This window comes from Homo sapiens, chromosome 17 (assembly GCF_000001405.40).
Source record: "Homo sapiens chromosome 17, GRCh38.p14 Primary Assembly".
Classification (NCBI taxonomy): domain Eukaryota; kingdom Metazoa; phylum Chordata; class Mammalia; order Primates; family Hominidae; genus Homo; species Homo sapiens.
The window spans coordinates 67,717,932-67,744,751 of NC_000017.11; the positions used below are offsets into that span (position 1 = coordinate 67,717,932).

The following is a 26,820-nucleotide window of genomic DNA, read 5'->3' on the forward strand; positions in this document are numbered from 1 at the left end:
CTTAGGTTTGCTCAAAATGGCAGCGCTGGAGGAAGAATTCACGTTGTCTTCGGTAGTCCTGAGCGCCGGGCCTGAAGGACTCCTAGGCGTGGAGCAGAGCGACAAAACAGACCAGTTTCTAGTGACAGACAGCGGCAGGACAGTCATCCTCTATAAGGTGAAGGCAATAGGTTTGGGAGCGCCCCGACTGCCTTCTCGCCCCTTTCTGAGCGCGGAGCTCGAGCTCAAGTTTCTCACAGCTTCAGAAAGAGATCGTGGAGAAGGCTTAGCAGAGAGCCGGCTGGGCCTGTTGGGGACGCTGAGTGAGGTCTGGAATCTGGCTTGCTTGCCTTCCTGTAAAGGCATATTTCCGACTTGCAGGGGCAGAGCGTCTGAGTGCACGTGGGTTAGACTCGGAAAAGAAAGAAAACCTGTGCTTTTGCTTCGGAACTCGCGGAATTGGCCTTGCTAAGATTCCCTCCTAGGGTCTTTATTATCTTAGCCGCCCGCGGGAGGATGGAACGGAGATTGGTTGGGCGGGAGAGGATGACACTGACAGAGTGGGAATAGTGGTTTAGCCGTGTCTACACTTCACACCCCTCTCTTTGTAGGGGCGGGGACAATTTTAGAGAGTGAGGGACTTTCTTGATAGCTCGCTAAGAATCTTGCCTCCAAGTGAGTTGTCTGTTGGCATCTCTGATTCACGCTGGGAATCCTGGAGTTGAGTCCTGGGAAAATCTGCAAGCCCTGCCCCCATTTCAGCCTAAAGCCTGATAGAGAACACTTTCTAACCTTGCTTTTGGTGGTCGCATAGAAAGCAGTTACTTTTCTCTGGGCTGCTGAACATAGTTTTCCATGTTTTAAAGAAGTTAGGTATCTGCTTTGACGTTTTGAGAACAGGTTGCTAACAGCTCCCTGTGCCGTTTTGACTCTGCTAACTCTATTGGGTTTCACTTGGGATGTCAAGTAGATTTGCAGTTTTGCAGCTCCTGCATAGGAATACAATGGCAGATTGGAATTGGATAGACATGATCCCAGATGTCCCTACTTAATTTCCCATGCCGCTGTTCAGAGGCATAACTTCCCATGCAGAGGCATAATATAATCAATTTTTAAATGTACTATTGTTTTTTTAACAAAGGGTTGCTTATTTACTTATTTAGGAACTTAGTTATATTTTCATTTTAACTACCCTTTTAGAGGTTTGGCCGGACGCGGTGGTTCACGCCTGTAATCCCAGAACTTCGGGAGGCCCAGGTGGGTGGATCACTTGAGGTCAGGAGTTCGAGACCAGCCTGGCCAACATGGTGAAATCCTGTCTCTGCTAAAAATACAAAAATTAGCCGAACGTGGTGAGGTGCGCTTGTAATTCCAGAGGTTTGGGAGGCCGAGGTGGGTGGAGCGCAGTGGCACGATCTCGGCCCACTGCAACCTCCACCTCCCGAGTTAAAGCGATTCTGCTGCCTCAGCCTCCTGAGTAATTGGGGTTACAGGCGCACGCCACCACGCCCGGCTAATTTTTGTGTTTTTAGTAGAGACAGGGTTTCACCATGTTGGTCAAGCTGGTCTCGAACTCCTGACCTCGTGATTTGCCCACCTTGACCTCTCAAAATGCTGGGATTACAGGCGTGAGCCACTGCCCTCGGCCAGTAAATTTTTTAAATGCTGTCATTTTAATGGTTTCTTTTATTGATTATAAACTTAATTGCTTTTAATGTTTGAAGTTGACTTCTTGAATATTGTATTTATCTTAATTTCATTAGGTTTCTGATCAGAAACCCTTGGGGAGCTGGTCAGTGAAACAAGGTCAAATTATAACATGTCCAGCTGTGTGCAACTTTCAAACTGGAGAGTATGTTGTTGTACACGATAATAAGGTGAGTTTTAAAACTTTTGTATAATATATACAATATAAATGTTGATTATTAACTATTTGTATTTATTATATGTAAATGGAGAATAGGATAGTTTTTAACTAGTATGTTTTGATTTAAGGTTTTAAGAATATGGAATAATGAAGATGTAAACCTGGATAAAGTATTTAAAGCTACAGTAAGTCTTTGAATTTTCCAACATATTTGTTTAGCTTATTGGTGAATTAGAATCATTCATAATAAAGTATGTGTTATTTATTTTAATACCTCTGGGAAAATAAGCATAAGGTCCTAATCAGGTTTTCATTCTAATTATCTTACAATGTATCTTGGTAACATGTCTCCATGAGTTAAGGAGATGAGGATTTATATAATTGATGAATGAGAAATTTATACTTATTTCCATGAGTTTGGATGTTTGGAGTGTGTCTTTTGTGAGAGCAAAATGAACTTCTGTGCCCTTTCTTAGAATAGGTAGAATAGACCCTGCAAGTTTCGTGTATTGGTGTATTGTACTTTTTTTTTTTTTTTTTTGAGACGGAGTTTCGCTCTTGTCCCCCAGGCTGGAGTGGAATGGCTCGATCTCGACTCACTGCAACCTCCGCCTCCTGGGTTCAAGCGATTCTCCTGCCTCAGCCTCCCGAGTAGCTGGGATTACAGGCATGCACCACCATGTCCAGCTAATTTTGTATTTTTAATAGAGACAGGGTTTCACCATGTTGGCCAGGCTGGTCTTGAACTCCTGACCTCAGATGATCCACCCACCTCAGCCTCCCAAAGTGCTGGGATTACAGGCATGAGCCACTGCGCCTGGCCCATGTATTGTACATTTTGAAGAGTGGCACATAATACAGTAAAAAATAAAATAAAAACATGACTAGCTGTGCATGTTCTACTGATGACCTAGAGTGTGTTCATTTTTTCTTACTTATAAAATGAGGATCTTAAACTAGGTTAATCTTGAAAGTTCTTTCCAGTTCTAAATGTCTAAATATAATTGGCACATTTTAGAAGTGGCTCACAATAGGGTTAATTCAGATATAATGCAGTTGTTGCCTGGATCCTTGAAACTTCTAGCTAGCTAGCTGTGCTGTTCCCTGGCTCCATTCTTTTCATTTACCTTGAAATTCATAACACAATCCTGAATTTTAAACAGTGGGGGTTTTTTTGTTGTTTTCCTCACACACGGTGTTAACTTCTTTTTCTGGAATTGCAGGCTGTAGTTACAATTGTGGCATTAGTTTTTATCTAACACCAGAATTGCATGTACCTCTGCATGAATGGCTTATCTGTATCTTTCCCAGTTTTAAGAAACCCAGGTTTTAGCCTAACCTCTAGTAGTCACAACGGGTAAACCAAAAATGAATTTACAGATTAAAGCAGGGACTAGGTAGAGAGGATAAGAGAAAAAGTTAAGACTTCTAAATGTGTTTTGTGTTGTAGGTTAGATTTTGGAACCATACATAATTATAAAGCAAAATTAATTCAAAATGAAAATAAAGCAGTCACTTAAAAAGAAGCCTTCTCTAAATATCCTTATATTAGGTATAAATTGTTTTAGAATAAAAATTAAAATTTTTTATGTTCTTCCAGTTGTCAGCAGAAGTATATAGGATACTTTCAGTGCAAGGGACAGAACCCTTGGTGCTCTTCAAGGAAGGTGCTGTTCGTGGTTTAGAGGCCTTGCTTGCAGACCCCCAGCAGAAAATTGAAACTGTTATCTCTGATGAAGAAGTGATTAAGTAAGTTCCAGTACTTGTAAGTAAATTTATCAAAATAAAAATGCACTGAACATTTTTTTGCCTTGTTCAAAAGTATTTTGGTTATAAACATAATGAAAGTAACCTAATTAAAAATCACTTACAAAACACTGACTAAAACAACATCCTAAAAAGCCTCTGGGCATGAAGATTGAAGAAACCATAGAGTCATATGAAGTCTTGACAGAACTGGATACTTAGTTATTTGAGGATGAAATGTGTTATCCCAAAAGACCAAAATCTTTTTGTTCCTCTCATATTGCCCTGACTACCAAGCTCCCATCCTTGTCCCCTGGCTAAAAGTGCATCGTGTTAGTGAAATCATGATGCATTAAGACCTCTGCTTTCCCAGATTCTGAAATAAAACTGGAAAAATGACTCATCAAGGGATAGAAGGACACTTCATGATTCCACATCTTTCTGATACTCTTTATTTCATCACATTTCCTGTTCATTTTACTTGTTTTCTCCAGGTCCACCTGGTAGAAACTAATTTTCTAAAAGTCAGAGTGAAGACTGGTACTTACAACGTGGCCAATAACCAGTTATATATTAGACTGACCTGATGAATCCCTCTAAGGTGTGAGCAACTGTTGTGAGGGAAATCCTTGGAGGATTTGAGTTCTAGTTGCTGCTTTGCCACAAACTGTGCAGCCAGTAACTTCTCTATGCCTCAGCTTCCTCTATATTGAGATCTTAATGTTTTCCTCAGAACACGAGTCCCAAAAGTAACTCTGAAGAAAATGAGGTAGGGGAGTCAATTTAAGTTTGGGAAGCACTGCATCTCCCCTCTTAGAACTTTAAAATTCACATTATCATCTGGGGAGTTCAATAACCTGCATTTAATCCAGAGCTGCATTTGACAAATGCGTATTGCTTGTGGTATATGTTTCAAAACGCCCAATTAAGTGTTCTCTGATGTCTTTCTGGTTCTAAAAAATATTTAATGAAAACTTTGATTAAATTTTGATTGATATGTGTCTCCCAGCTGGTGATTTTTGCATCCTATAATTTTTCTTTTTTCTTTTTTTGTAGATGGACAAAGTTTTTCGTAGTATTCAGACATCCTGTTTTAATTTTTATTACTGAAAAAGTAAGTGATATCTTCAATTCCTGGCCCATTTTGTGAAATTTCTTTAAAAAAAAAAAATTTATTTAGAGACAGGGTGTTGCCCTGTCACCCAGGCTTGAGAGCAGTGGTGCCACGATGGTTCACTGCAGCCTCAACCTCCTGGCTCAAGCAGTCCTCCCACTTCAGCCTGCCGAGTTGCCTCGTAGCTGGGACTACAGGCATGCACTACCATCCTGGCTTATGTTTTATTTTTTGTAGAGACAGGGTCTCACTGTATTGCTCAGGCTGGTCTCGAACTCCTTGGGCTGAAGGGATCCTCCTGCCTTGGCCTTTCAAAGTCCTGGAATTACAGGTGTGAGCCACTGTGCCCAGCTGTGAAATTTCAAAACTTTTTTTTTTTTTTTTTTTTTTTTGAGATAGAGTTTCGTTCTTGTTGCCCAGCCTGGAGAGCAATGGTGCGATCTCAGCCCACCGCAGCCTCCTCCTCCCGGGTTCAAGTGATTCTCCTGCCTCAGCCTCCCGAGTAGCTGGGATTACAGGCATGCACCACCACGCCCAGCTAATTTTGTATTTTTAGTAGAGACGGGGTTTCTCCATGTTGGTCAGGCTGGTCTTGAACTCCCAACCTCAGGTGATCCACCCACCTCAGCCTCCCAAAGTGCTGGGATTACAGGCGTGAGCCACTGCGCCTGGCGCAAAACCATTATTTTTTAAACTAAAATGTGACTTCGTTATTCTCTCAGAAGATCTCTAATTTTTTTTTTTTTTTTTTTTTTTTTTTTTTTTTTTTTGAGACGATTCTCCCTCTGTCACCCAGGTTGGAGTACAGTGGCACAATCTCGGCTCACTGCAACCTCTGCCTCCTGGGTTCAAGCGATTCTCCTGTCTCAGCCTCCCAAGTAGCTGGGACTACAGGCGCCCACCACTACTCCTGGCTAATTTTTGTATTTTTAGTAGAGACAGGGTTTTGCCATATTGGTCAGGCTGGTCTCGAACTCCTGACCTTGTGATCCACCGACTGCGGCCTCCCAAAGTGCTGGTATTACAGGTGTGAACCACCAAGCCCAGCCTCTAACTTTTTTATGACCTTTTAAATTTAAGGCTGGGTGTGGTGACCTCATCTCTATTAAAAAAAAAAAAATAGTGTAGCATGGTAACACACACCTGTATTCCCAGATATTTGGGAGGCCGAGGTGGGAGGATTGCTTGAGCCTGGGAGGTGGAGGTTGCAATGAGCTGAGATCACACCACGGTAGCCCAGCCTGGGCCACAGAGCAAGACCCTGTCTCAAAACAAACAAATTTGATAGCATAAGATGTTTTTAAGTACTCATTGATGTAAGTAGAATGGGGTGACAACTTCTGGTTTTAACATATGTTAAAATACTTGGTTGAAATGGGAATATTTATAAAATAACCTTTTTTTTTTGCAGCATGGAAATTACTTTGCTTACGTGCAAATGTTTAACTCACGTATCTTAACCAAATATACACTCTTACTTGGACAAGACGAAAACTCTGTTATAAAGAGTTTTACTGCATCTGTAGATCGGAAATTCATCTCTTTGATGTCATTAAGTAAGTTTTCTTTCTTTAAACTTTCAGAGATTATAAATAGAGGATTGTTATAGGATAGTGTATGTTTTTGAATCGTAGACTTTGTGAAGCATTCAGTTACAGCCATTTCTGTGCTTCTTTACAGCGTTCATGCCTTCACTTTTTTTTTTTTTTTTTTTGAGACAGAGTCTCGCTCTGTCGCCCAGGCTGGAATGCAGTGGCACAACCTCTGCTCACTGCAACCTCTGCCTCCCAGAGTCAAACAATTCTCCTGCCTCAGCCTCCTGAGTAGCTGGGATTACAGGCGCCCACCCCCACATCTGGCTCATTTTTGTATTTTTAGTAGAGACGGTTTCGCCATGTTGGTCAGGCTGGTCTCCAACTCCTGACCTCAGGTAATCCACCCGCCTTGGCCTCCCAAAGCGCTGGGATTACAGGTGTGAGTCACCTCGTGCGGCCCATGCCTTTGCTTTTTGTACTTTGCATGTCTGGCCATGCATTAGATCAGTGATCCTGTGTTTTGAGGGCCTATTGAAGTACTTTAGATACAGCATCCTTTTCTAACATTGCTTCTTTATATTTTATGTCTTAAAATTTACCATAAGCTGGCCGGGCATTGTTCACGCCTGTAATCGCAGCACTTTGGGAGGCTGAGGTGGGCAGATCACAAGGTCAGGAGATCGAGACCATCCTGGCTAACATGGTGAAACCCCGTCTCTACTAAAAATACAAAAAATTAGCCAGGCATGGTGGCGGGTGCCTGTAATCCCAGCTACTCTGGAGGCTGAGGCAGGAGAATGGTGTGAACCCAGGAGGCGGAGCTTGCAGTGAGCTGAGATCGTGCCAGTACACTGCAGCCTGGGGGACAGAGCGAGACTCGAGACTCGTCTCAACAAAACAAAACAAAAAAATTTACCATAAGCAATAAGTAACAATGTTAATACCAGTGAAAAAGAGAAATCACTTTTTAGCTGATAAGGCCCAGGTTCTTTGAGTGTAATTAGTGAAACATAAACTGTCTATGCTTGGCATTGAATGGCCCCTCTGCTCCTTTTTTCCAACCATTAGATTTAGTATGCCCTTCCTTGAATAGCAACTGAGACAGATGGGCAAAAGGAGACTAACAGCAGCTTTGGCCCATGCCAGTTGCTTTTTATTATAGATTGTAATACCTTTATGAAATGGTCTAAAGTATAACCCCAGTCTTAGGCCTCTAGGGCGGGGAAGAAAAAAAAAAGTCTTTGTGGTACCCTCTCCCCTCCACCCTTCATGGCTGCTTTTGAAGTTGTTCTGAGAAGGTGAAGGAGAAGTAAACAAGAGCAATACATAGGAAACATTTCCATATTATCACAATTAAAAATCTTTGTGAAGTTTTTCAGTGTGCAAATGTTTGCGGTGGCTATTTTTTAAAAGGCTCCTATCATTTTCATATCTTGGGGGCTATTGGAATGTACTTAATGTTTAGCTTAATGAACTTTGAAGTGAGGAAGTGTGCACCAAAGGGTTATATAAATCTTTACGTAACAATTGCTAGAACCACATGAAACTGCCGAAATTCAGTTGGCCCACAAGAAAGAGCAATTTCATAAGGTTTTCAGGGTGATGAGGTAGGAAGAATTATAATAAACTAAGCACACTGGCTCACACCTGTAATCCCGGTACTTTGGGAGACCAAGGCAGGAGGATCATTTGAGCCCAGGAGTTGGAGACCAGCCTGGGCAACATAGCGAGACCCTATGTCTAAAAGAAAATTTTTTTTAATTAGCTGGGTGAGGTTTGTGCACCTGTAGTCCCCGCTATTTGGGAGGCTGAGGTGAAAGATAGATCACTTGAGCCCAGTAGGTTGAGGCTACAGTGAGCTGTGATCACACCACTGCACTGTAGTCTTGGGCCACAGAGTGAGACCCTGTCTCAAAAAAACAAACAAGAAAGAAAGGTAACGTATAGACCAGATGCTAATTACTTTCTAATGAGGGATATATCCTTTTAGGGACTAGATGATCTATATTCTTGGGAGTCCCCCTCAATATTTTAAGTTATTGCAGGTATTTACAGTTTGTATTTCTTGACTATTACATTTCTTACTGAGATTTTTATTAATAGTACTTCTTTCCCCAGTTTAAATTTGTGGTACTCTTTAAGAGAAAGCACAGTGATGGGATTGTTTATTTTTCTGGTTGGCTGTTTTATCAAATTGGTAAAATCTTATAAACAACCTAGTACATTTAACTGTAATAGATATAGAAGTATCCTTCAATAACCAACAACAAATGCTTGTTTCCAACAGGCTCTGATGGTTGTATATATGAAACCTTGATACCAATACGTCCAGCTGACCCAGAAAAAAATCAGAGCTTAGTTAAATCACTGCTGCTCAAGGCTGTTGTATCTGGTAACGCTCGAAATGGAGTTGCACTCACTGCCCTGGATCAGGATCACGTCGCAGTCCTAGGAAGTCCACTAGCAGCTTCTAAGGGTAACTGACATCCAATTCATTAAGAAGGCCTTTGTATGTTTCCTTCACGGTGTACCTTTTAGTCTTCCTTTTCTTTTTCATTTCGTTATTACCCAGACTAATTCATTCTCTTTATCAGCATACTCAATTTTTTTTGTGCCTTCCTAATTCTTCTTGAATTGGTTTTTATTTTTATTTTGCATTGATCTTTCAAAAACACTTCTTGCTATCACCACCATGCTCATAACTATGTCATAAAGAAATAAAAATGGCGAATATACTAGTCACCATCATACTAGCCTGCAGGTATTTGAAACATTAGTAAGCCTACATTTGAGGATTGGATTCTTGGCAACATTTCACATCATGGAAATCCACTGGACATGAACACCTTGAAATGTGGGAACTAATAGTGTACCTTTGGACTCCGTGACTTCTGAACAGGATTCTCATCGCCACCTTGCCTCCTTACCCACCAACTCCCCGCCAGACTTCCTAGTCAGTCATGAAGAACACGATTGCTCCTTGCCAGTGCAGGATAGCAGACCCCAGCCTTCACTAGAAAACTCAGACTCTGTCGTTTAGCATAAGTCCCTTCACAGCCTAGACCTGTCCACCTTTTCCAACCTTTTCTCCCAAATTCTGAGCAAGAACCCTCTGCTTTATTCAGGCAGTGCTCTCTATTGACCACACATTTGATATGCCCATCCTCACCTGTGTACTTTGTTCTGTGTTTCTCCTGCTTATTATTAACATAGGAGCAAGGCTCAATGCCTATAATCCCAGCACTTTGGGAGGCCTAGGCAGGCAGATCACCTGAGGGGAGCTCGAGCCAGCCTGACCAACATGGAGAAACCCCGTCTCTATTAAAAATACAAAATTAGCTGGGTGTGGTGGCGCATGCCTGTAATCCCAGCTACTCAGGGGGCTGAGGCAGGAGGATCGCTTGAACCTGGGAGGTGGAGGTCGCAGTGAGCCAAGATCACACCATTGCACTCCAGCCTGGGCAACAAGAGCGAAACTCCGTCTCAAAAAAAAAAAAGATAGGAGCTCCTGCCAGGCACAGTGGCTCACGCCTGTAATCCCAGCACCTGGGGAGGCTGAGACAGGCAGATTGCTTGAGGCCAGGAGTTCGAGACCAGCTTGGCCAACATGGTGAAACTCCATGTCTCTACCAAAAATACAAAAAATCACCTGGGCTTTTTGGCGCACAAACCCAGAAGGTGGAGGTTGCAGTGAGCCGAGATTGCACTATGCACTCAACCTGGTCAACAGAGTGAGACTTTGTCTCAAAAAAAAAAAAAAAAAAAAAAAAAGAGCTCCTGGTTATAGTATAACTATACCATGTGCGAGCCGGGCACAGTAGCTCATGCCTGTAATCCCAGCACTTTGGGAGGCCAAGACGGGCTGATCACAAGGTCAGCAGATCAAGACCATCCTGGCTAACATGGTGAAACCCCGTCTCCACTAAAAATACAAAAAATTAGCCGGGTGTGGTGGTGGGCACCTGCAGTCCCAGCTACTCGGGAGGCTGAGGCAGGAGAATGGCGTGAGCCTGGGAGGCAGAGCTTGCAGTGAGCTGAGATCACACCACTGCACTCCAGCCTGGGGGACAGAGCAAGACTCCGTCTCAGAAAATAAATAAATAAATAAATAAAATAACTACCATGTGCCTGGCACTTTACTAAGATTATCTCATTATTTGTATCATTTAGTCCTCTACCATTTAGGAGGAAATAAAGTTGTTACTATCCCCCTTTACAAAACAGGAAACTGAGGTATGAGGTAACTAAGTAGTGGAACTAGGATTCAACCCGAACAGGTGAACTCTGTTAAGCCATGTACCCTGCCGCTCTTAAGTCCTGGCTCTTGACCACTTCACTAAGCTGTGCTTCTCCTCTCTCTTCTCCCATCTTCCTCTCTTTCTTATTTCTGCTCTACCTCCCTGCCAAAAAAACCCGGTGGCTACTATAGAGTTTCCTGTGTCTCTTCCTATGGTTTTTTTTTGGTCCATATACAAGCAAATACTACTACTTAAGGGGTTTTTTCCCCTCCTCGTTTAACACAAATGGTAGCACACCATGCATACTGTTGTGTACCTTGTTTATTCACCTACCCAAGATCTCTCAGAGATCATTCCATATAATATTATTTGTTAATCTTCCTTGCTTTTTGAATAGCTGTGTAATATTTCACCGAAGGGTGGCCCCACAGTGTGCTTCATCATTCTCCCATTGCCAGACATGAACCATCTATTCTGTTTTTTTAAATTAAGATGAAATTCATATAACATAAAATTAATCGTTTTATTTTTTAAATTTTGTAATGCTCTTTTTAATTTTCATTTCTTTTTTCATTGTTTACTTTCATTTATCTTTAATTTTTGGTAGGCCCTTGTAGAAGAAATTAAAGTGAAGGAGTCACTGGTGTTCGTTGTGCATCTACTTCTGTCTAGTTTTTTTTGTTGTTGTTGTTTTTTTTTTTGAGACAGAGTTTTAGTCTTGTTGCCCAGGGTGGAGTGCAGTGGCGGGATCTCGGCTCACTGCAACCTCTGCCTCCCAGGTTCAAGCGATTCTCCTGCCTCAGGCTCCCAAGTAACTGGGATTACAGGCATGTGCCACCACACTTGGCTAATTTTTTTCCTTTTTCTTTTTGTATTTTTTGTATTTTTAGTAGAGACGGGGTTTCACCATGTTGGTCAGGCTAGTCTTGAACTCGTGACCTCAAGTGATCCACCCACCTTGGCCTCCCAAAGTGCTGGGATTACAGGCGTGAGCCACTGCACCTGGCCAACGTCTTGTTTTAAAACATTTTCATTATGTCAAAAGGAACCTGTGGACCCATTAGGCAGTTGCTCCTCATTCTCCTCTGCCCCCTACCCTTGGCAACCACCAATTTGCATTCTTCTATGGATTTACCTTTTTGGGATACTTTGTGTAAATGAAATCATACAATACTTTTTTTTTTTTGAGGCAGAGTCTTGCTCTGTCTCCCAGGCTGGAGTGCAGTTGCGCAATCTCGGCTCACTGCAAGCTCCGCCCCCCGGGTTCATGCCATTCCCCTGACTCAGCCTCCCGAGTAGCTGGGAATACAGGCGCCCACCACCACGCCTGGCTGATTTTTTTGTATTTTTAGTAGAGACGGGGTTTCACCTTGTTAGCCAGGATGGTCTCGATCCCCTGACCTCATGATCCGCCCACCTCGGCCTCCCAAAGTGCCGGGATTACAGGCGTGAGCCACCGCGCCCGGCCCATCATACAATACTTTTTGTGTCTGGCTTCTTTGACTTAGACTTAGCCTAATTTTTGTTTTTATATTTAGTTTTTAGTAGCTCTGAGGTCTTGCTACGAGCTCCTCCTGCCTCAGCCTCCCATAGTGTTGGGATTACAGACAAGAGCCACCACGCCTGGCTAGCCAAATGTTTTTGAGGTTCATCTACCTCGTTGCATGTATCAGTGTTTCATTCCTTTTCATGGTAGAGTAATATTCCATTGTATATATATAACAGTTTGTTATCTGTTCATCCATTCATGGATATTTTAGCTATTTCCACCTTTTGGTTATTGTGAATATCACTATGAACATTCGTGTGCATGTATTTGTGTACCAGTTTTTTTTGTTGTTTTTTGTTTGTTTGTTTGTTTTTTTGAGACAAGAGTCTCGCTCTGTCGCCCAGAGGCTAGAGTGCAGTGGTGCAATCTGGGCTCACTGCAAGCTCCGCCTCTCGGGTTCACACCATTCTTCTGTCTCAGCTTTCCAAGTAGCTGGGACTACAGGTGGGTGCCACCACACCCGGCTAATTTTTTGTATTTTTAGTAGAGATGGGGTTTCACCGTCTTAGCCAGGATGGTCTCAATCTCCTGACCTCATGATCCGCCCGCCTCAGCCTCCCGAAGTGCTGGGATTACAGGCGTGAGCCACTGCGCCCAGCTGTGTACCAGTTTTTAATTCTTTGGGATATACACCTAGCAGGGGAATTACTGGGTCATGCGTTAATTCCATATTTAGTTTTTCATTTTTTTAATTTTTATGGGTACATAACAGGTGTATGTATTTAAGGGGCACATGAGATATTTTGATACAGGCATGCAATGCATAATAATCACGTCAGGGTGAATGGGGTACCCATCACCTCAAGCATTTGTCATTCCTTTGCATTGCAAACATTTTAGTTATACTCTTTTCGTTGTTGATTGTGTTTAACTTTTTGAAGAACTGCCGAACTCCACAGTGGCCGAACCATTTTACATTCCCACCGGCATTGTACAGTGGTTCCAGTTTCCCTGCATTCTTGCTCACACGTGGCTATTTTCCATAATTTGGATTCTGGCCATTCTAGTGGGTGTGAAGTAGTACTTCATTTCGGTTTTGATTTGCATTTCCCTAATGACTAAGTGTGTTGAACATTTTTTCATATGCTCATTGTCTATTTATATGTCTTCTTTGGAGAATTGTCTATGCAAGTCCTTTGCCTATTTTTAAATAAGGTTGTCTTTTTTGTTGAATTGTAAGCATTCTTTATATATTCTAGATGCTACACCCTTATCAGACATATGATTTCCAAATATTTTCTCCCATTCTATAGGTTGTCTTCACTTGGATAATGTCCCTTCGTGCACAAAAGTTTTTTTTTTTTTTTTTTTTTTTTTTTTTTGAGACGGAGTCTCGTTCTGTCGCCCAGGCGGGACTGCTGTGGCGCGATCTCCGCTCACTGCAAGCTCCGCCTTCCGGGTTCACGCCATTCTCCTGCCTCAGCCTCCCGAGTAGCTGGGACTACAGGCGCCCGCCGCTGCGCCCGGCTAATTTTTTGTATTTTTAGTAGAGACGGGGTTTCACCGTGGTCTCGATCTCCTGACCTCGTGATCCGCCCGCCTCGGCCTCCCAAAGTCGTGCACAAAAGTTTTAATTTTCATGAAGTCCAATTTTTATTTTTCTTTCGTTGCTTGTGCTTTTGGTTCCACATCCAAGAACCCATGGCCAAATCCAAGGTCATAAAGACTTATCCCCACGTTTTCTTCAAAGAATGTTATGGTTTTAGCTCTTACATTTAGGTTGTTGATTTATTTTGAGTTATTTTTGTGTATGGTGTAAAATAAGGGATTAACTTTGTTCCTTTGCCTGTGGCTCTCCAGTTGTCCCAGCACCACAGTGGTCCTGGCACCTTTGTTGAAAAATCAGTTGGCCCTAGATGACTCTCAATCTATTACACTGGGCCAGTACCACACTGTTTTGATTACTGTAACTTTATAATCAGTTTGGAAATCAGGAAGTATGAGCTCTCCAACTTTGTTCTTCTTTTTCAAGTTTGTTTTTGCTGTTTAGGCCCCTTACAATTATTCCATGTGATTTTGAAGACTGGCTTTTCCATTTCTGCAAAAAAGACCATTGGAATTTTGATTGAGATTGAACTGAGCCTGTAGGTTGCTTTGTGTGGTATTGCCATCTTAATATTAAGTCTTCCAATTGCTGAACACAGGATATCTCTATTTATTTATGTCTTCCTTAATTCCATTCAGCAATGTTTTATAACTTTTAGTGTACAATGCTTTCACTTGGTTAAATTTATTCCTAGGGACCGGGCGCAGTAATCACACCTATAATCCCAGCACTTTGGGAGGCCAAGGTGGCCGGATCACCCAAGGTCAGGAGTTTGAGACCAGCCTGACCAACATGGAGAAACCCTGTCTCTACTGAAAGAAAATACAGAATTAGCCGGGTGTGGTGGCACATGCCTATAATCCCAGCTACTTGGGGGAGCAGGGGTGAGGCAGGAGAATCACTTGAACCCGAGAGGTGGAGGTTGCGGTGAGCCAAGATCACACCACTGCACTCCAGCCTGGGCAATAAGAGCAAGACTCCGTCTCAAAAAAAAAAAAAAAAAATTATTCCTAGGTATTTTATTCTGTTGGATGCTAATATACATGGAATTATTTTTCTCTTTTTTTAAAAAAATGTTTTATTTTTGGAGATGGAGTCTTACTCTGTTGCAGGGCTGGAGTGCAGTGGCATGATCTTGGCTTACTGCAACCTCTGCCTCCCGCGTTCAAGCAGTTCTCCTGCCTCAACCTCCTGAGCAGCTGGGACTACAGGTGCATGCCATCATGCCTGGCTAATTTTTTATATTTTAGTAAAGACAGGGTTTCACTGTGTTGCCCCGGCTGGTCTCCAACTCCTGAGCTCAGGCAATATGTCTGTCTCGGCCTCCCAAAGTGCTAGGATTACAGGCATGAGCCACCATGCCCTGCCGGAATTTTTTTTCTTAATTTGCTTTTTGTTTTTAGTATATAGGAGCATCTGATTTTTGTATGTTGATCTTGTACCCTGCAACCTTGCTGAATTTGTTTATTAATGCTATTAATGCTAATCTTTTCCTGTGGATTCTTCGAGATCTCTATACAGGATCATGTCATCTGTGAGTAGAGTTAGTTTTACCTCCATTTAAATTTGGATTTTTGGCTGGGCGTGGTGGCTCATACCTGTAATCTCAGCACTTTGGGAGGCCGAGGTGAGTGGATCACCTGAGGTCAGGAGTTCGAGACCAGCCTGGCCATCATGGTGAAACCCCTGTCTCTACTAAAATTACAAAAATTAGCTGGGCGTGGTGGCATGCACCTGTAATCCCAGCTACTCGGGAGGCTGAGACAGGAGAATCACTTGAACCCAGGAGGCAGAGGTTGCAGTGAGCCAAGATCGTGCCACTGCACTCCAGCCTGGGCGACAGAGTAAGACTCTGTCTCAAAACAAACAAACAAAAATTGGATTTTTGTTTTTCTTCTTCTTGCCTGGCTAGAACTTGAATAGCAGTGGTGAAAATAAGCCTCCATGTCTTGTTTCTCATTTTAGGGGGACAGTTTTCAGTCTTTAACCTCTCAGTGTGATGATAGTTGCGTAGAATAGCAGTGGTGAAGAAGGCAGGGCAAGCACCTTTGTCTTTTTCCTTATCTTAGGGGGAAAGCTTTTAGTCTTTCACTGTTGAGTGATGGTAATTGTGGGTTTTTCATAGATGCCCTTTATCATGTTAAGGAAGCTCCTTCCTTTTTCCTAGCTCTCTGAGTTTTTTTTGTTGTTGTTTTTTAAGTCATGAAAGACTGTTGGAGTTTGCACAATGCTTTGTGTCAACCGAGGTGATCATATGGTTATTCCCTCTGTTCTGTTGATGTATGTGCTGCACTGATTGGTTTTCTTCTGTTAACTACCCTTTCATCCCTGGAGTCAATCCTTCTTGGTCATGGATCTTAATATTTCCCGTTGGATTTGGTTTGTTGGTATTTTGATTAGGATTTTTTTTTGCATCTATACTCATGGGGATATTGCTCTGTAGTTTTTTTGTGTGGTGTCTTTGTCCGGCTTTGGTATCAGAGCAACCAAAAGCCCAAATGAGTTTAGGAAGTATTTCCTGCTCTTTTATATTTTGAAAGAGTTTGGGAAGATTTGTGTTAAATTGTAAATTTGTAGAATTTACCAGTGAAGCCATCTGGTCTTGGGCTTTTCTTTGTTGGGTGTTTTTAATTGTTATTCCTGGTTCATAAAGCCCTCCCTTCCTCAGGGCTCACCTTTCCAGGCTTCTTCTTACCATGAGCTCTCATTTCTTCCAGTTCCTGTGGCAATCACTGTCTTCATAATTCATTTCTATACTAAAGCAAAGCATATATATTTAACTGTAACTCCCCCCTTCCCCAAAATATCATATATTTATACTTGGGACTTTTTTCTGAATTTATGTCTTATTTTATAGAATGCCTCTCTGTATGGAACATAAAATTTCAAACACTACAGACTTCAAAAGAGTTACCACAAGGGACCAGTGGTCAAGTAAGTTTTTTCACTTGAGTACTTTCTCTGATTTAGTTATTTTGTTGTGTTTTGTTTTGCTTTGTTTTGAGATGGGGCCTCACTCTGTTGCCCAGGCTGGTCTTTTACTCTTGGGCTCAAGTGATCCTCCTGCTTCAGAAATTTAGTTATTTTTCTGCCTAATAAATATGCTGTAAGGGAAGAGATCTCTTTGAACCTAAATATTTTGGCAGCTTTTCAAACCAGGTGTGGTGGTATGTGTCTGTAGTCCCTGCTACTGAGGAGGTTGAGGCAGGAATATCTTTTGAGCCCAGGAGTTCAAGGCTTCAGTGCTGTATGATTGTGCCTGTGAAGAGCTGCTGCAGTCCAGCCTGGACAACATAGTGTGATCTCATCTCTGTAAATAAATAAGTAAATAGCTTGGCAGTTATTGATCAAATTTAAGAATTATTTTTTACCTGAGGGATTATGTTTAGTTCAGTTATTGTTGAAATCACTTCCAAAATTCTAAATTTTTGCCAGAACAATTAGCTATTTAATAAAACAGCTTTTGTTTTTAGCTGCTCTTTGGTTTTGTCTTTTTACTTATGTATTTTGAACTATACCCTCAAGCTGTTACTTTTCCTAATAAATTAGTCTTTTAGATTATGTGTTAAATGTTAAATGTTACCATGAAATTACATAAAAATACTTAAAAGAATTAAAATTGAAGCTGAACAGACTGTGCACTTCCTGAGGCAGGGTTCCTTGTGAGTTTTTTTCTCCAGTGTATTTTCAGTGCTTAGCAAGGTGCACAGTAAGTTTTAGTTACTTAGTGAATGAATATTCATATACAAATAAATCAAGGCAATAGGATGTTTTGGTAATTTTAATTTGAGGATAAAGAGACAAGGTTTCTCAGCATACAATTTAATTATACTTTATATGTAAAAAAGTAATTTTAACTATTCACAATTTTTTATTGTGAATAAACTCACACTTTTTTATTACAACTTATTATTTTATTTGTTTTATCATTTTATTATTTATTATTACAAACTTTTTTTTATTTCCTTGTTCCCTCAGGCTTTTTTTTCCACATACCTGTCTTATTTTTACAATCATAAAATATAAAGTGTTAAATTCCGGTTTGTAAATTTAGTGCATTAGAAGTTTGCCCATGCTATAGTAGCCTTGGTAATTATTATGTTAATAGATGTATAATAGTGACCACATTAATTTTAAACAATTGAGTTTTTTAAAATGTATATGTTGATTAAATTTTTCTGAGTTGAAAATATTCTTTAAATTATGCTTCATTCAGACTTGGGCAAAAATAAGAGCCTATTTAATAAGCTCTGCATATAAAATTCTTCTTGAAAGTTGCTTACTTTGCCTCGTTTTTAATACTGAGCACTTATACAGTGAGTGATAAGGCTTTATTGAGTCATACCTTAGAAGAGAAAAAAATTTGCTTATGTTTTTGATAACTTTTTTTGTAGCTCTGGTATTATGGAGAACATTTGTTTATGCTACATGGAAAATCTCTAACTGTGATTCCATACAAGTGTGAAGTGTCATCATTAGCAGGTGCTCTTGGAAAACTCAAGCATAGTCAAGATCCAGGTAGAAACTTACTTCTGTTTGTTTTATTAATACAAACCGTTTTATTAACTTGTAGTTTCGTACAGATTCCCACAGCCTTCTATTTGTAAAGCTTTTTCTTAATTTTGAAATTTACCGCTGTTTATTGAAACTTGTGAACAGGCCAGGCACGGTGTCTCACCCCTGTAATCCCAGCACTTAAGGAGGCAGAGGCGGGAGGATAGCTTGAGCCCGGGAGTTCAAGACCAGCCTGGGCAACATAGTAAGACCCTGTACTCCACAGAAAATGGAAAACAAAAAAAAAAAAGTTTGAAACTTGTGAACAGTCCAAATTGCAGGTTCTGTGGCAAGCTGAAGAGCTACACTGTGTTTTGAATGCCAGTGTTCTGATTTTAGGGGCAATGGGAGAACCCCCAAACAAAATCAGTAATACCTCTGCCCTCCCTTGTTTACCGATGGCCTCATCTGTTAGCTTAACGTTGTTGGACATACAGCCTTTTCACTATATTATGATTTTCTTATCTGAGGTTATCAGAATTACATGGACTTCAAAGCCTCTCTTAAATTGTATGAGTGGTTTTTTTTAAATTGTTCTTTGATTGTTTAGTTGGGCAAAAAGTAAGTCAAAACATTCCAGAAATTGTGCATTTTGCATTTTCTTAGGAACTCATGTCGTGTCCCATTTTGTAAACTGGGAGACACCTCAAGGATGTGGACTTGGGTTCCAGAACTCAGAGCAGTCAAGAAGAATTGTAAGTTTCGTAGTTGAAATTGAAACATTAGTGCAAATGTTGAAAAACAGAAAAAGACTGAATTATTTTAATGAATCATATCCTTACAACTCTTAGAGCTTTGACTATAATGACAGGACAGTTTGCGGCTTGAACCCAGTAACCTCACATTCTTTATCCAGAAATGCCCCATGTTGTCTATTAGTTATATTTACTTTTAAAAGTTTTTGATGAGAGCAAAAGTGTGCTAATCTCTTTGGAGTGTTTCATATCCCTCTAAATGTGTATTGGATCTCTTATATTGTTTTGTGATCCTAATCAATTTACTTAATTCCAGTTAAGGAGACGAAAAATTGAAGTGAGTTTACAGCCAGAGGTTCCACCATCCAAACAACTTTTGTCAACCATAATGGTAAATAAATAATATTGAAATATGAAAAATCAAACTCAAGTGTTCCAAAGAAATCGCATCTACTCTTCGTTCTGTCTTATTTTTATGATCATCTTTATACCTATAGCTAACATCTTGTAGTATCTTAAGGGTGTCAGAGTTGATCCGATATTTTGGCTTCTTTGATGCTCGCTGTCACCTCATGAGATTGATATGGTGTTGGTCTTATCTCTTTCTCATTTAACTTTGCAGTGTCAGCTTCAGCTTTGCAGGAATGCATGATAACTGTTAGTCATTTGAGAAAATGTTGTGCTAGGAAACGTTAAGTTCAGAGTGACATTCGTTAATGTGCCAAACTGAATTCTTTAATTCTGCGCTTTCAGAAAGATTCAGAAAAACACATTGAAGTAGAAGTACGGAAATTTTTGGCTCTGAAGCAGACACCTGACTTTCATACTGTCATTGGGGACACAGTAACAGGACTTCTGGAAAGGTGTAAAGCAGAACCATCATTTTATCCCCGGAACTGTCTGATGCAGCTTATCCAAACGCATGTGCTTTCTTACAGGTAGCTGTTTGTGTGTACCACACTGTACGTGCATAATTCTTCTGACCTTGTTTTTTATAGTTCTAATCTTCTGAAACTCTCAAAAGGCTTATAAATGTTCTGCAGTTGAGAATTTTCTTAATATGTAATAGTGATTCAGATTTTTTTGTCTTAGTTTGTGCCCCGACTTAATGGAGATTGCCTTAAAAAAGAAAGATGTACAGTTGTTACAACTCTGTCTACAGCAGTTCCCTGACATTCCTGAATCAGTCACCTGTGCTTGCTTAAAAATTTTCTTGAGGTAAGTTAGACTCCAATGGTCCTTTTTCTTCACTACATTTATAATCTGTTACATTATTTGATTTCCAAAATTTTGATGCTTAGGAAATGAAATTTTTCCCAAAAGCTTGGTGATAAGGATTAACCTCTTGCTTTCAACTACCATCATAGCATTGGTGATGACAGTCTTCAAGAAACAGATGTTAATATGGAGTCAGTTTTTGACTATAGTATAAATTCTGTACATGATGAGAAAATGGAAGAGCAAACTGAAATTCTTCAAAATGGCTTCAATCCTGAAGAAGATAAATGCAATAACTGTGATCAAGAGTTAAATAAAAAGCCCCAGGACGAAACAAAGGAGAGCACTTCATGCCCTGTGGTACAAAAAAGAGCAGCTCTACTGTATCCTTTGACATAGAGCATCCCTCTGTTTCTCTTTATAGGATATAGTTATATGCCAAGCAGTAACCAAGGAGTAACTCAATAATTTAAGGTTTTTCTTTCCTTTTCCAATTGTTTTTTGTTTCTGTTTGAAAATAGATTATGTTCAATGCTACGTTAAGTAAGGTTTACTTAAACCTGTTTAATTTAACTAGGCTGGGCATGGGTGGCTCATGCCTGTAGTCCCAGCACTTTTTGAGGCCGAGGTGGGAGGATTGTCTGAGCCCAGGAGTCTGAGACCAGCCTGGGCAACATGGCGAGACCCCCATCTCTACATCAGATTTAAAAAAAAAAAAAAGAAGAAGCTATACTAACACAGAAGCTCTATCAATTCTGAAGATCAGTATTCTGAATAAATACCAATTAAAGTATTCCACATGATCTCCAATGATTAGGAGAGTGTTTGGTGATAGAGCTCTTTTAGAGATGTAAAACTTTTGTATAAATTTAGAAAACTAACATTGACAAAGGAAGTTACTCATAAGTTCAATAGAATAGCTTCTATTTGTTGAAGTACGATTTTCCTTTAGTCCTAAGTAATGCAATTCTTCATTCAGCATATAGCGAGACATTTCTTCTGCCTCATTTGAAAGACATCCCAGCACAGCATATCACGGTAAGTGTTCATACAAGTTGTATAGAATTTTACTTCTGGTTTAAATATTGCTATTTAACTCTAACCAGCTGTTAGGGCATTCTAAAGGTTATGAAATTCTTTCATGTGAATAAGAGGTTGCCCAGCTCTAATGGCAAAAAATTGTGCTGAGAAAACTAGAGCGATACTAGGGTGATAGACCATGGCATATTCCTTGTGCCAAACTTGAAGGCCAAGTTAAGCTTCCTAAGTTATAAATGAATAAACACTAAAAAGAATTGCAGACAGAAGGGTTCTCTCTACCTATTATTTACAAACAATGAGCTTATCACCACCACTACCCCCAAACCAGATGAGCTCCTCATTAATGGGAGGGACTGCATTTTATTCATTTTTATGTCTCCAGATGTCTGGCGTATTTGTTTGATGTATAAATTGAACATTTTTTTCAATCTTCGTGATGGGTTTATATAATAGAAATTTTTTCTATCAAAATGATAAACTATCCATTTTTTTTCCCACCCAGCTGTTTCTTAAGTATTTGTATTTCCTGTACCTGAAGTGTAGCGAAAATGCTACTATGACTCTTCCTGGAATACACCCACCTACCTTGAACCAGGTGAGATTATTTTTTTACTTTGATTTGGTGCTGGGAAAAATCTGTGAAAAAAAGTTGTATTCAAGGTCAGCACCTGCATTCAAGAGCTGACTTCTTGTTTCCTAGGCCGTAGGAATCCCTTCCTCATAAAACCAAACCACTGCAGCTAGAAATGGGGAGTCTCTCATTTAGTAGATTTCTAGATCCATAAATCTACACGACAGAATTTTAATTTATCTTAAATTCCTGATTCTTCATTATGACCCTTCCCTTTTCCAAGAATTTCCTCAGCCTTGATGGGAGACAACAGGAAGGGGCTGATAATATAGGTTGCCCCCTTAATCATCTCTTAAGAATAAGAGAACAGGCCAGGCATGGTGACTCACGCCTGTAATCCCAGCACTTTGGGAGGCCGAGGCGGGAGGATCACTTGAGGTCAGGAGTTTGAGACCAGCCCAGCCAACATGGTGAAACCCTGTCTCTACTAAAAACACAAAATCATCCAGGCATAGTGGTGCGTGCCTGTAATCCCAGATACATGGGAGGCTGAGGCAGGAGAACTGTTTGAACCCAGGAGGCGGACGTTGCAGTGAGCTGAGATCGCGCCACTGCACTCCAGTCTGGGCAACAAGCAAAACTCTGTCCCAAAAAAAAAAAGCGGGGGGAATAAGAGAATACAGATTAGTGAAAAAATATTCCCAGAGAATCCCATGGTAGTCCCTCTTTAAAAATAATACTTATGCTGGGTGCGGTGGCTCATGCCTGTAATCCCAACACTTTGAGAGGCTGAGGCGGGTGGATCACCTGAGGTCGGGAGTTCAAGACCAGCCTGACCAACATGGAGAAACCCCGTCTCTACTAAAAATACAAAATTAGCCAGGTGTGGTGGCATATGCCTGTAATCTCAGCTACCTGGGAGGCTGAGGCAGGAGAATCACTTGAACCCGGGAGTTGGAGGTTGCGGTGAGCCAAGATGGCACCATTGCACTCCAGCCTGGGCGACAAGAGTGATACTCCGTCTCAAAAAAAAAAAAAAACTTATTTAAAAAACAGTAAGAAACATTTAAAAATAATGTATTTACCCTCCTACAAAGGCATGTCTATAGTTCCTTGTCTTTGGACATGTAAGAATTGGAGGCAAAGAAATGTGGACTTGGAGAAATCTGGGGCCAGCTTGCTCTCCGCAGGCTCAAGATCAACCATCCCACATAGAAGCAGTAAAAACAATAAATTGTTTTGGTTTGGTAATATGTTATTCTAACGAAGGATTTTAAACACTTAAGTTGGCTATTCTTCATATAAAAAATAACTTCTTTTTTTTTTTCCTTTTCAAGAAGGCAAGGTCTCGCTCAACCACACTGGAGTGCAGTGGGAATCATAGTTTGGGGCAGACATGAATCCTGCCCTGAAGCAGTCCTCCCCACTTACCCTCCCAAGTAGCTGGGACTGCTGGTACATGCCACCACACCACATGAAAATACAATTTTTTTTTCCTTTTTTGAGACGGAGTCTCGCTCTGTCTCCCAGGCTAGAATGCAGTGGCACGATCTCGGCTCACTGCAACCTCCGCCTCCAGGGTTCAAGTGATTCTCCTGCCTCAGCCTCCTGAGTAGCTGGGACTACAGGCACAAGCCACCACACCTGGCTAATTTTTGTGTTTTTAGTAGAGATGGGGTTTTACCGTATTGACCAGGCTCATCTCAAACTCCTGACCTCAGGTGATCTACCCATCTCAGCCTCCCAAAGTGCTAGGATTACAGGTGTAAGCTACCGTGCCCGGGCAAACTACAATTTTTTTATTTTAATTTTTCTTGTAGAGACAGGGACTCCCTGTGTTACCCAGGCTGGTCTCAAACTGCTGGGCTTAAGTGATCTTCCTGTCTTGGCCTCCCAAAGCATGTGGATTACAGGCATGAGACACTTACCTAGCCTAAAAATAAGTTAAATTTTTCAGTGGTTATTTTTTATTTATTTATTTATTTATTTAATTTATTTTCTTTCTGAGACAGAGCCTTGCCCTGTCACCCAGGCTGGAGTGCAGTGGTGCGATCTTGGCTTACTGCAATCTCCACCTCCCAGGTTCAAGCAATTCTCCTGCCTCAGCCTCCTGAGTAGCTGGGATTATAGGCCCCCACCACCATGCCCCTGTGCTTTTAGTAGAGACAGGATTTCACCATGTTGTCCAGGCTGGTCTGGATCTCCTGACCTCAAGATGATCCACCCACCTCAGCCTCCTAAGGTGCTGGGATGACAGGCTTAAGCCACCGCACCCGGCCCACTCAGCACTGTTTTAGACATTTCCTGGACCAGTAGACATACATCTGCCTCATTCCTTTTAACCAATGCATACTATTTCATTTTACAAATATAAATTAATGTACCTATCAATCCTCTATTGATGGTCATTTGTTTACCATTTTTTGCTGTTGTAAATCTTCAGTGAGGATCTTTATACAGATATTCTTGTATATTTATGAGAATGCCTGTTGAATACATTCCCACAAGAGAAATTATTGGATGAAATAGTACATGCAATTTTTAGTTTTCAAAATGCCAGACTTTCTGAAGAGTTGTGACAACTACCACCAGCAAGGTCTGAGGCATTCTTTTTCACATTCTTACTGACATTCAGTTTTGTCAAACTTACTTTTTGCCAATCAGATGGGTAACAGGTGTTACCTCATTTTAATTTGCATTTCTTTGATAATGAGAGAAGGAAACCGTCTCTTCTTGTCCATTTATATTTGTTTTTGTGAATCTGCCTAGTCGGGTTCTTTGTCCATATGTATATTGCATTTCCTGTCTTTTGGTTTATAAAAAGTTCCTTTTATATTAAGGAAATTAGCCTTTTTCTATCAAATGCATTGTAAGTTATTTGTCTTTTTACTCTCTTTAGTATAATTTTTGACAGATACTTTTTCATGCTATTAAAATTAAAGTTTTCCTCTATAACTTCTTTATGGCTTATGTTATGTTTAAGGCCCTTCCCACTCTAAGATTATGAAAATAGTCACCAGCTTTCCCTACTACATGGTTTTATTTCTTGTGTTTAACTCTTTGATACATATAGAATTTAATCTGATATAAGGAGTTCCTTAGGGATCAGCTCCCCCTCCCAAATGGATAGCCAGTTTCCCGGTTGCTTTGATATTTGCATGTTAACTACACCACTGGAAGATGTAGGACTACATAAGAAACTTCTATAAATGCTTAGTAATAATTCTGGTTTATGGCAACTCATCTATAATACACAACACCTTGTCCTTGGGGAAAATTTATCTTGCAGAATAGAAGATGAGTGGTTATTTTTTTGTGTGTGTGACTGAAAATTATTGAAACTGAAAACTAAAATTTTTAAAAATAAAAAGACAACTACTGGCGCGGTGTCTCAAGCCTGTAGTCTTAGCACTTTGGGAGGCTGAGGTTGGAGGATTGCTTGAGGCCAGGAATTCAAGACCAGCTTGGCAATAAGGCGAAACCCCATCTCTACAAAAATTGCTAAAAAGTAGCTGGGTATGATGGTGCATCTGTAATCCCAGCAACTCTGGATGATTGCAGCTACTCTGGGAGGTTGAGGCAGGAGGATCACTTCAGCCCAGGTGTTTGGAGGCTCCAGTGAGCTATGAATTGTGCCATTGCATTCCTACTCCAGCCTGGGTGACATAGCAAGATCCCATCTCTAAAATTTTTTTTAATTAGAATAAATTTTTTAAAAGCCAGAAATGAGCCTTTTTATATTTCGTAGAAATTGCTCCATCTCTAAACAAAAATGTTCAGATTTTATTTATAAAGACTTATTTTTCTCATAACTGTTTATTTATGGACTTTGTAAAGTGAATTAACCTGAAGTTAAATTTAAAATCTTAACTTCCTTTTCCTATTCATCTTCAGATTATGGATTGGATATGTCTACTTCTGGATGCAAATTTTACTGTTGTTGTAATGATGCCAGAAGCAAAGAGGCTACTGATAAATCTTTACAAGCTTGTAAAATCTCAGGTTTGTGATTATTTGATATATACTGATTTTATTTGTACCCAAGTATCACCTGAATTACAATTATTCTTAAAATTTGTCCTTAAATAACTTACTCATGGAAGATTTGTTTCTATGTAGACATTATGGTAAAAGTTACTCTGAAACTCTTTTCTTTAGATATCTGTTTATTCTGAGCTCAACAAGATTGAAGTAAGTTTTCGGGAGCTACAGAAATTAAATCAAGAAAAGAATAATAGAGGATTATATTCAATTGAAGTGCTGGAGCTCTTCTGATATTATCAATTCTCCTTCATAGACATTTTATAAAGCTCTTTTATGTGAACTCTTGCTTCATCCAGGCAAGAACGGTGTTTTGTTTGCGACCATCTCAGTGTCAAGAGAAACGTGTCAGTGAGTACCTGGACCATCACTTAACTGATGCTCCGGGGTAGGACTGCAGGTTTCACATGAACCTGTTCTAGGCTGTGGACATTGGTGTGGAGAGGTTCTGCAATTTTTTAAAAATATGTAACTGGGTTGATTTTAAGTAAAATTATTTGTGTATTGATAAAAGTCTAATTTCTTATCATGTGTTTTGAATTTTTTCTTTTAATAAAAAATGACCATTGAAGCAGTGATTCTAGGAAGAATGTAATTTTATCAGAGTCAGAAGCTGCCCCTGCTCATTTGTTCCACAGCTCACCTTTATTTCACACATTTGCAGTGTGTCTTCTGCCACAAGCAGGGCAGAGAGGGGCCCTCACACAGGCACGTGATTGCCTCCTGCGGTCTCCCCTGTCCTTTAGGACAAATGAAAAGTTCAAGTGTGATTCTACAGCCCAGCTTTACAGAAAGAATCCTGATGGCTGAATTTACCTTGCAGTAGTGAAAAGCTGCGTTTTAGGTCAGGCACTGTATGTAAACTTTAGTCACACATGTGGCCGTTAATAAACAGGTTCTCCTCCATTGTTTTTAATCTCTCAGTAGGCCTTAATGAAAAGAAATCCCAAAGGAACAGGGTAAAGCCTCTATTAATGATGACATTCTCAGCTGGGCACGGTGACCCACGCCTGTAATCCAAGCACTTTGGGAGGCGGAAGCGGGCAGATTACTTCAGGTTAGGAGTTCAAGACCAGCTTGGACAACATGGTGAAACCCCATCTCTACCAAAAAATACAAAATTAGC

General features: G+C 40.5%; 1 protein-coding gene and 1 non-coding gene across 3 annotated transcripts, besides 5 other annotated features; both read left to right on the forward strand.

Annotated features, from left to right (window-relative positions):
- NOL11 (nucleolar protein 11) lies at positions 5 to 26,600 on the forward strand. 2 transcript variants are annotated; one of them, NM_015462.5, is made up of 18 exons: positions 5 to 157; positions 1,743 to 1,856; positions 1,975 to 2,031; positions 3,447 to 3,595; positions 4,649 to 4,706; positions 6,118 to 6,262; positions 8,529 to 8,717; positions 16,432 to 16,508; positions 17,969 to 18,092; positions 18,735 to 18,823; positions 19,140 to 19,214; positions 19,577 to 19,761; positions 19,916 to 20,041; positions 20,191 to 20,424; positions 21,001 to 21,079; positions 21,585 to 21,677; positions 25,548 to 25,655; positions 25,812 to 26,600. In NM_015462.5, exons 1-18 carry the CDS (start codon positions 17 to 19, stop codon positions 25,926 to 25,928), a joined length of 2,160 nt encoding a protein of 719 aa, NP_056277.2. In that variant the 5' UTR covers positions 5 to 16; the 3' UTR covers positions 25,929 to 26,600. The 2 variants fall into 2 exon arrangements, with proteins under 2 accessions (NP_056277.2, NP_001290201.1); NM_001303272.2 differs by lacking the exon at positions 4,649 to 4,706.
- Positions 66 to 255: an enhancer, noted in NCBI's record as "active region_12631". NCBI's record gives its function as "activates an Ori minimal core promoter by ATAC-STARR-seq in GM12878 lymphoblastoid cells {active_cell/tissue: GM12878}" and the evidence as "EXISTENCE:reporter gene assay evidence [ECO:0000049][PMID:35858748]".
- Positions 526 to 615: a silencer, noted in NCBI's record as "silent region_8876". NCBI's record gives its function as "represses an Ori minimal core promoter by ATAC-STARR-seq in GM12878 lymphoblastoid cells {active_cell/tissue: GM12878}" and the evidence as "EXISTENCE:reporter gene assay evidence [ECO:0000049][PMID:35858748]".
- Positions 1,178 to 1,899: an enhancer, noted in NCBI's record as "H3K4me1 hESC enhancer chr17:65715225-65715946 (GRCh37/hg19 assembly coordinates)". NCBI's record gives its function as "activates a minimal SCP1, AML or CMV promoter by ChIP-STARR-seq in primed H9 embryonic stem cells {active_cell/tissue: H9 hESC(primed)}" and the evidence as "EXISTENCE:reporter gene assay evidence [ECO:0000049][PMID:30033119]".
- Positions 3,428 to 3,659: a silencer, noted in NCBI's record as "fragment chr17:65717475-65717706 (GRCh37/hg19 assembly coordinates)". NCBI's record gives its function as "represses an EF-1alpha promoter that drives an FKBP-Casp9 reporter gene in an ReSE screen in K562 erythroleukemia cells {active_cell/tissue: K562}" and the evidence as "EXISTENCE:reporter gene assay evidence [ECO:0000049][PMID:32094911]".
- Positions 19,369 to 19,569: a silencer, noted in NCBI's record as "peak2955 fragment used in MPRA reporter construct". NCBI's record gives its function as "represses an SCP1 promoter by STARR-seq MPRAs in K562 erythroleukemia cells {active_cell/tissue: K562}" and the evidence as "EXISTENCE:reporter gene assay evidence [ECO:0000049][PMID:32103011]".
- Positions 22,739 to 22,870, forward strand: SNORA38B (small nucleolar RNA, H/ACA box 38B). The gene has a single exon (NR_003706.2). It is a non-coding gene; the product is annotated as a small nucleolar RNA, H/ACA box 38B (small nucleolar RNA).
- Positions 26,601 to 26,820: the final 220 nt, after the last annotated feature.

Excerpts from the sequence above, each read along its gene's own strand:
- NOL11 (NM_015462.5), top strand. The coding sequence starts at position 17 with ATGGCAGCGCTGGAGGAAGAATTCACGTTGTCTTCGGTAGTCCTGAGC. Across the intron at positions 18,824-19,139 it reads CAGAGCAGTCAAGAAGAATT|TTAAGGAGACGAAAAATTGA; the intron begins GTAAGTTTCGTA and ends ACTTAATTCCAG. Across the intron at positions 19,215-19,576 it reads AACTTTTGTCAACCATAATG|AAAGATTCAGAAAAACACAT; the intron begins GTAAATAAATAA and ends CTGCGCTTTCAG.